The following is a 9,460-nucleotide window of genomic DNA, read 5'->3' on the forward strand; positions in this document are numbered from 1 at the left end:
GAGAAACTTTATAAGATGTCATCTGGCTATCCCAGCCTCCATAGCTTTTCTTTTATTAAGATGAGAAAACCAGTTCATAGACATTAAATGATTGGCTCACATTAGTGGATGAACCAGGACAAAAAATGCAAGTACTAAAGACTTTTGGTATTCTTGGATCTAGGGATCAGTGGCTTACCTAGATTTTATGTTTAAGTTGATCAGATCAATCAATAACAGGTTTCCTGGAATTTTACTAGGTGTTTGGAATGTTCTAGATAGGTGGCAAATATATGTTTTATCAGTCCAATTATTATGGATATGTTTTTATTTTTTCAGTTATTGGACACCTCATAGAACATCAGATGATTAGCGTAGCCAAGATTGCAGTTGCTACCTCTGCTTTCTCTATTTAGTCTCCTTTGCTGATTTCTTCTCTAGGTGCTGCTTAAACACATCTATTTCACTATGTTTATGTCTTTGGTCCATTTATCAATTTACATCCTCATGCAAGTGAAATTCCCATGGCTTCCATATTAAAGACTCTCATACCCATATTCTCAGCCCTGAGAACACTTTACCAAACATGAAGTAACTATTTCCAACTGTCTGATAGATCTATCTATGTGCATTCATTTGTCATGGTGTCTTAAGCCCAAAATGGGATAATTTCCTACCATATCATCCCCTTTCTAACAAAGGCAGCCTGCCACATACTTGTTTCATTCAACCAATCAATCAATCTTGGATTTATTCTCCACCTCTCCTTTCTTACTTCTCATGGAAGTAGCCATTAAACACTGTCAATTCTCCCTCAGAAATGTCTCTTAGGCCGGGCGCGGTGGCTCACACCTGTAATCCCAGCACTTTGGGAGGCTGAGGCGGGTGGATCACCTGAGGTCGGGAGTTCAAGATCAGCCCGACCAACATTGAGAAACCCCGTTTCTACTAAAAATACAAAAATTAGCCAGGCGTGGTGGCACGTGCTTGAATTCCCAGCTACTCAGGAGGCAGAGGCACGAGAATCGCTTGAACCTGAGGAGGTTGCAATGAGCCGAGGTAAAGCCATTGCACTCCAGCCTGGGCAACAAGAGAGAAACTCCATCTCAAAAAAAAAAAAAAAAAAAAAAGAACTTAGTCTCTGTAGTTATCCTCAGTGACTGTGACCACCCTTTAAAAAAAAGTTATGATTGCTGAAGAATAACATTTAAAAATTAAAATTAAGAGGGGAAAAATGCCTCATGTGTTGTCATACATTTGAAAAGAAGGCCGTGATGTTTATATTAAAATTCCATATTATAGTGATCATTCACTATAAGTTATATTATTATGTATAGATTTTAAATCTCTCATATGAAAAATTTCTGCTAAATATAATACTAATAAATGTGGATAAAATAGAACATAGTTGTTAATTGAGGTTATTATCCCTTAATATGAATATTTACAAAGTGTTATGAACTAGCAGGTGTGACTTTGAATTATGGGTCAGCAAATATCTCTCTTTCCATCCCATTGAGGGCAGAGTGTACTTTACCACCTCCTTAATTTTGAGCTTGGCCATGTAACTTTCCTTGGCCTATAGAACATTGGCCAATTTGACCCAGGTAGAGGCCTTACATGAGGTTTGGCTTGGCCCTTGTGCTCTAGTGCTCCATCATGAGAGGAACATGGGGCAAGTAGCTACTGCTCTTCAATCTGGGCCCTAGAATGAACACATGTGGAATACACCTGAACCCAGCCCACAGACTGGAAGTAAATTCAGTCAATCCAGACTGAAGAAGAGCTACCAAGCCAAGTCTTTTCTAGCCCAGTGAGATCTCATTAGACCTGCAGGTCTGTGAGCATGAATATAAATCCTTTTGTTGTATGTCCTGAGGTTTCGGGATGTTTTGTTACACAGCATCATCATGGCAATATCTGACTAATATACAAGCAATGAATAAAACAAATAAAAAGTGAGATATTCCATAGTTCACATGACAGAATCATTTTTCCTTTCTGGATATGAGTATATCTTGCATATCATATTCAAAATCGAATCTAAATTCAAACTTTAATAATAACAGCTGCAATTCTTATTATTACTTACTATGTACCAGGCACTTAAAAGGATTATTTTATTTAATCTTCACAACAACACTTTTAGATACTATTATCCCCATTCTATAGAATGGCTTATAAAAATGACTCAGCTCCTGGCTCCCTCCCACATCTAAAACTACTCTCTCCTTTCATGTCCCCACTGACCTCTTAATTATTTGGACTTACCAGTTGTCCCCCTGCCCAACCTCAGGGACCAGTCTATAGTCTAGAATGCTTTCTTCTTTCCCCACATTTGCCTGGTTATCTCCTCCTCATCCTTCAGCTCTCAAAAGAGGTATCTAGGATCTGCCCCAAATTGGATCAGGTCCTTTGTTCTATGTACTGATTTCTTATTGTTGCTTTAACAAATTAGCATCAATCTAGTGGCTTAAAACAACACAAATTTAGGCTGGGTGCAGTGGCTCATGCCTGTAATCCCAGCACTTTGGGAAGTAGAGGCGGGCTTATCACCTGAGGTCAGGAGTTCAAGACCAGCCCGGCCAACATGGTGAAACCCTGTCTCTACTAAAATACAAAAAAAATTAGCCAGGCATGATGGCGAGTGCCTGTAATCCCAGCTACTCAGGAGGCTGACATGGGAGAATCGCTTGAACCCAGGAGGTGGAGGTTGCAGTGAGCCGAGATCATGACATTGCAGTCCAGCCTGGTCTAAAGAGAGAGACTCAAAACAAAAAACAAACAAAACAAAACAAAACAAAAACCAGAAATATTATCTTAAAATTCTGGAGGTCAGAAGTCCTAAAATCAATGTATTGATGGGGCTGCATCCCTTCTGAGGGCTCTGGGCAGGATCAAATTCCTTGTCTTTTCCAGCTTCTAAAGGTTGCCCAAATTCCTTGGCTCATGATTCCTTTCTCAGTCTTCAAAACCAGAAAGTGGCATCCTCAAATCTCTTCCTCACCAAACCCTTACCATTTCTCCTTTTGCCACATCTGTCTCTAACCCTTCTGCCTTCCTCTCTTAAGGACCCTCGTGATCACATTGGGCCCACCTAGACATTTCAAGATAATCTCATTTGATGAGCCTTAACTTAATCACACCTACAGAGTCCTTTTTGCCATGTAAGGTGACAGAGTCACAGGTTCATGGATTATAATGTATATAACTTTGAGGGCCATTGTTTTAACTACCACAGTATACATTCTCATATTTCTCATAGTATTTCCATAACATTTATCACAATTTCTGAGTTTATTTTTGCATGATTATTGATTAATATCTGTCTCCTCTTTGTCACTTGAGAACAAAGACTGTGTCTTATTCATTATATCTCCATCTCATTGCTCAATGCTTGGCACATGGTAAAACCTCAAAAAATATCTGTCCACTGAATCAATGAATGAACAAGTCAACACTGATATACAACTGCCCCCAATGTTGTTATACTTTCAATCGGTATTAATAAAAATATAAAATTCAGAATAAAGAACATGAACATGGTAGTTTGTTCACTATGGTTGGCCACTCAAAACCACTGGGAATATTTTGCTTGGTTCTGAGAACCATACTTCAAATGTGAAAGAGGCAAATTGAGGCATATATTTAAAAGAAGGCAGCAGGATGGCGAAGGAACTAAAAACTATTATGTAAAACTGAGAGTTTATAATGTTTACGGCTGAAGCAGTAGAGATAAATAAGGGTGTCAAGCAAAGGAAAACCTATCATCAAAACTATAATCCCTACTATTATCATGGCGGCAGTTGGGTGGGTGAGTTTTGAAAAGCATTATTTTTTTTAAGCAATAGTTTGCCTTAGCAGGTAACTTTGTAACATTTTCTCAGGTAATTATTCTTTAGAGAGACAAATTTACTAGTCCTGATAAGCATACATAAAATTATTTTGAAATGATGGCTTAAATTGCATTTTGGCACTAATGGGATATTCAAGATAATTAATCTAACTATAGAAAAAAATTCTGATGTTGCAACAACACCCACTATTAACATTACTCCTTAAAATCCTCAGCAATGAAAAGAATCAAATATTTTAAAATATGAACTAGCTTCTAGAGGGTATATTTCCTTCTTCTTCTTTTTTTTTTTTTTTTTGAGATAGAGTCTTACTGTGTCGTCCAAGATGGAGTGCAGTGGCACGATCTTGGCTCACTGCAACCTCTGCCTCCCGGGTTCAGGTGATTCTCTTGCCTCAGCCTCCCTTCTCCTGCCTCAGCCTCCCGAGTAACTGGGACTACAGGTTCGTGCCACCACGCCCAGCTAATTTTTTTTGTATTTTTGGTAGAGATGGGGTTTCTCCATGTTGGCCAGGCTGCTCTCAAACTCCTGACCTCAGGTGATCCACCTGCCTCGGCCTCCCGAAGTGCTGGGATTACAGGTGTGAGCCATCTCTCCCAGCCTAGAGAGTAAATTTCTTATAAGAGGAAGTGATCACCTCCTTCTCTAATGCTAGGTGCAATATCTGTCCAAAGTTTTTTGGTTTTCTGTGGGGTTTTTGCCCAAAATAAGGTGGGCCAGACACTTTGTGAGAGTCTTTGCATACTGGTTCTAAGATTTGATGCTTAGAACTATAGGTGTCTTTTTTGTATTATCGGAATAACACAGATTCTTGGATCTAGGAAATGTGTTTCCAAATATTTTCATATGCTGTACAATCATTTGGATATTTTATCACTTATGTTGTATTTCTTTATTCATTCATTTATTCAACAAATATTGATAGAGTGTCTACAATGTGCCAGGCTCTGTTATAGGAACTGGGAAAATACTGGTGAAAATAAAACAAATAAAAATTCCTCCCCTCAGGGCCAGGATTCTAGGGGTGGTGGGGAAGCAATGGAAAATAAAAATTTAAAAATGTGAAACAGTGTAAGATAGTTAGTGGTAAGTACTATGGAGAAAAATAAAGCTGAGAAAGAGGATTAGAGTTCTTTTGCGGTACAGAAGTGAGACAATAGGGTTGCAGTTTCTGATATGGTGGTACAAAAATGTGATAAAGATCTAAAGAAGGTGAAGAAGTGAATGAAATGGGTGTCTGGTGGCAGGTTTCTAGGCAGAGGAGCAGCCTGTGCAATGAGAGTATGCTTGGTATACTCCAGCCAAAGTGAGGACACCAGTGTGGCTGGAGCAGAGTGGATGGGGATGTATGGAAAGGGAGACACAGGTGAAGTAAACTTAGGAGTCAGTATTATTTCATGTAGGGGCTTGAAGACATTTGTGAAGACCTTCGCTTATAATTGGAGTAAGGTGGGAAGTCACTGGAGGTTTTTGTCTCAGTCTCCATCTGTTTGCTATGTAGGGAGACTGTAATAGGGTCAAGGTGTTTGTAGGATAGTCAGAAGTCTAGTGGGATAATCTGGGTGAGAGATGACAGTGGTTTGAAGCATGGTGTTAGTTATATTGGTGGTGGCTAGCAGTCAGGTTTCCATCATAGTTAGAACTTACGGGATCTGCTGATGGATGGGATGTGGGTCAAGGTTGACTCCAAGGTTTTTGGCCTGAGAAAAAGGAAGCCTGGAGTTATTAACTAAGAGGTAGAGGAGCAGGATTGGAGAGATTAGGTGTATTTCTTGATTAGGTACAAATCTCATGTGATTGTACTCCGGTATAGTGAAACTCTAGAGGTAAAGGAAAGTTTAGAAATCAACTTTAAGTAGGTAATGCAATAAGAGTAACATTGAGGTAGGGGGCTATATTTCACTTTAGATCCATTAAATGAAATGGTTTACATTTAAGTCTGATGAACCTTAGGATCTTTTTTTTTTTTTTTTTTTTGAGTTGGAGTCTTGCTCTGCCACCCAGGCTGGAGTGCAGTGGCACGATCTTGGTTCACTGCAACCTCCAACTCCCAGGTGCAAGCAATTCTCCTGCCTCAGCCTCCTGAGCAGCTGGGATTACAGGCGCCCGCCACCATGCCTGGCTAATTTTTGTATTTTTAGTAGAGACGGGGCTTCACCATGTTGACCAGGCTGGTCTCGAATTCCTGACCTCAGGTGATCTGCCCGCCTCAGCCTCCCAAAGTGCTGGGATTACAGGCATAAGCCACCATGCCCAGCTGAACCTCAGGATCTTTAACTTCTTTCTGATCAGGGATGAACAAAGGTATGAAACACATGAATAAAGAGCTATGCAGGCAAAACCCAGTCATAGGCACCATCCATCTTCATTATGAACTAGGGTAATCAAACTTTTAATTTTGCAAAATTATAATTTTTTAAATCATAGCTACTTTTGTACTCAAGTGTGATTGAGTATTATATACGATGGATATTTGGTTCTAAGAAACAGAACTGCTGATAAAAAGAATCTGTACATGCTTGTTGAGCTGCTTAATAAATAACTATTTGATGATGAATTCTGCAGTATGTTTAAAGAACAATCCTTCTTCTGTTGCCTTAGAGAGTTCATTTGGCATTGTAAAAGTGGACGTAATTTCAAGGGGTGGCCAAAATGTATCAATTAGCCTGACAACTAGGTCTTTTTAACAGATCTATAAATTTCAGTTTCCTTTGCCCTGTTAATCATGGTAAATTATCCTGAACAAGATCATTCTTTTGAACAACAGCCTCTTATTAGCTGAGATCAATTGAGATCAGAAAATGAAAAATACACTAGATGCTAAGAACTCTTTGTGAAACCACATTTGTAGGATGAGAACTGAATGAAGATTAATGTGTTATTTTTGGCTTCTAAATCAGTGATTTAAAAACTTATTTTCTACATCCTGCTGCTGGATTAAACACTAATATATATTTGGTTGGTTTACTTGCTTGCAAGTATTATCTTTTCCTCTTTGAGCTTATGTATTAATGGAAGGAAATGATTTTTAATTTAAATGTATCTTGCTTTGCACACCACATGTGTTTCTGAAAGAGCTACACATTAAATTGGTTAAATTGATTATTTTTTCCTATGGAATTACAAATTAATGACTAGCTTCTTTGTTTTAATGTCTGATTGATTTTCATTTGCTTTTTCAATAAAATGCGGATCCTTAGCACATCATGTGGACCTTATGTAATCTGGACTCTGTCTACCTTTGTAGGGACCTCACCACACTCTCCTACTCTCCTCTTCTGTCTCCAAGCGCCAGCGACAGTGACCTTTTCTCAACCCCTAGTACTTCAAACTCAAGATTTTTGCACATATTGTTTAAAATTTTAATTCTCCAACATTCTTTGCCTTGTTTTTTAAAATATAGTACACATAGTACATTGCTATCTTAATTGTCCATCTTCCCTTAGCTAGAAAGTAGGCTCCAAAAATGAATGTATTTTTGTCTTTTTATTCACTGCTGAATCTCTACATCTAAAAGTGATGAATAAATGAATAAATAAATTGGTAAATGAATAAGGAATTCCTTATAATGGAATACAAATTTCCCTTCCCTAAAACCAGGTAGCTTCTATTCATCATTCAAATTCTAGCTTAAATATCACTTTTTCAGGCCACTCTGACCCCAAGACAAGGTCAAGTTCCTCTACTATTTATTCTTATAGATCCTGTACTTCTCTATATAATTTATTAGAACCCCAACTTATGAAGTTTATTGTTTGTGAGATAATTTGCTTAATTTCTGTGTTCTCCCCTAAGCTGTAAGCTCTGTTGGAACAGACAATGTTTCTTACTCTTACCTGTATCCCCAACACTAGCACAATGCCTGGATCATAGAGACACCTAATAAGCATCAGTTGAATGAAACCATGGATGTGTGGATTAGGCAATTCCTCAGTTATAACTTTGTCTCTCTGTTCTACTGTCCAATGTTCTCACAACAAAAAAAGTAACTAACGAACCCCAAAGAATGCCTTAGTATTCTGGATAAGTTCTTATTTAAATGCACTCCTCCATGAATTCAATAATGCTTGGAGGATCCCTTAAAGATAATGCCTAATAATTACCTCTTCACCCCATGCTATTTAATTAAACAAATACTTAATGAGTTTTTCCTCTAGTCCAAGTTGCACAGAGGGAAATACCATCATGTAAATAGTGAAAAGACCATGCGTTTTCAAACAGAAAGATCTCTTTCACTTTTGCTGCCTGTTAAATTTGGTTAAGTTATCAACTGAGCCTTGGGTTCTTCTTCTGTCTAACAGAAACAGCAATACCTATTTTGCAGGGTTTATGTAAGGATTAGTGATAAGCATATATTTATTGATAAGCCTGACACATAGTCAGTGCTCAAAAGATGGTAGCTGTTATTACTGTCACTGGAAGGTAAGCTCTTAGAGGGCAGACTATACTTGCATTCCCTGTACCTTACACTCAATAAAGGCTAGTTAAACTGAAAAGCAACGGGAACAATAGCAGAATATGTGCTACTTCTCAACTCTCAAGGGCCTTAAAAATCTAATCAAGAAAATACACTCCAAAACTTATTCATGAAATATTTAGATAATAAAGAAAAACAATACTTACGACAACTTATACATGAAATTAGAGCAAAATGTGTGTTATAGACCATACATGCTTTACATGGCCAGCCAGGAAATGATAGGAGGTGGCTGGCTGCAGTTACTGTGAAATGATAAGTTCACATATTTGTGTGTTAGAAGATGCTTACTGTAAGCCTCCTATGGAAGTGTTCAATTTCTTTGGCAAAATTTTATGCTATCTATGCCAATGTTGGATAAATAGATTAACTTGCTGCTTTGTGTTTGTATGCTTGCAGACAAAATTGTGTTATTGATCTTGGGTATCAAGGTGAATTTGTCAGAGTAATGGGTGTTTTTTTTTTTTTTTTTTCTCTTAAACAGTGGCTGGCTAACAATCAAAAATAGGTTTTGGTAATGTTGGGTAACGTTGCTCAAATACGGCTATATTATGCAGAGCACATGGCAATCGTTGAAGAGTAAAACACAGATAATTCCACTTCTTTGTAGTGTGCTTGACACAGGTTTGCAGCAGTATTGCATCATCTATAAGCATTACATATGGCTGTCCTTTCATCTTACTAAATTATTTGCCAGCAGATCTAATAGATGGGCTGAGATAGTGAGCATGAACAAAAGAATGTTTCTCTTCTCCAGGATATTCTCTACTTTTTGTTACTTAAGTATCTATGTAATAGCATTTGACATACAGCCAAACACCAGGGCAGCCCCATTTAAGGTTTTTGATACACTGAGGATCATTCAGAAAACTTCGGATTCCTAGTTATAGAGTTGAATCCAACCACCAACACACTCCAGAAGTCCTGACATTAGGAAAAGAGATGGCCACCATCTTTCACCCACTTCAAGTCCTGTAAGGATGATCTAGAATCTACACTGTGCCAACTAGCATCCAGGCACACATCAACCTGCCCGGACTACCAAATGCAGAAACAAGCCCAGTAGCAGCAGCTGCTCCGAGCTTGCCCACACACCTGCATCCTAGTGGCAGACAAATATCCTGGAAGCCTTTGTGTCCACACACTC

Source organism: Homo sapiens, chromosome 8 (genome assembly GCF_000001405.40).
Source record: "Homo sapiens chromosome 8, GRCh38.p14 Primary Assembly".
Lineage (NCBI taxonomy): Eukaryota > Metazoa > Chordata > Mammalia > Primates > Hominidae > Homo > Homo sapiens.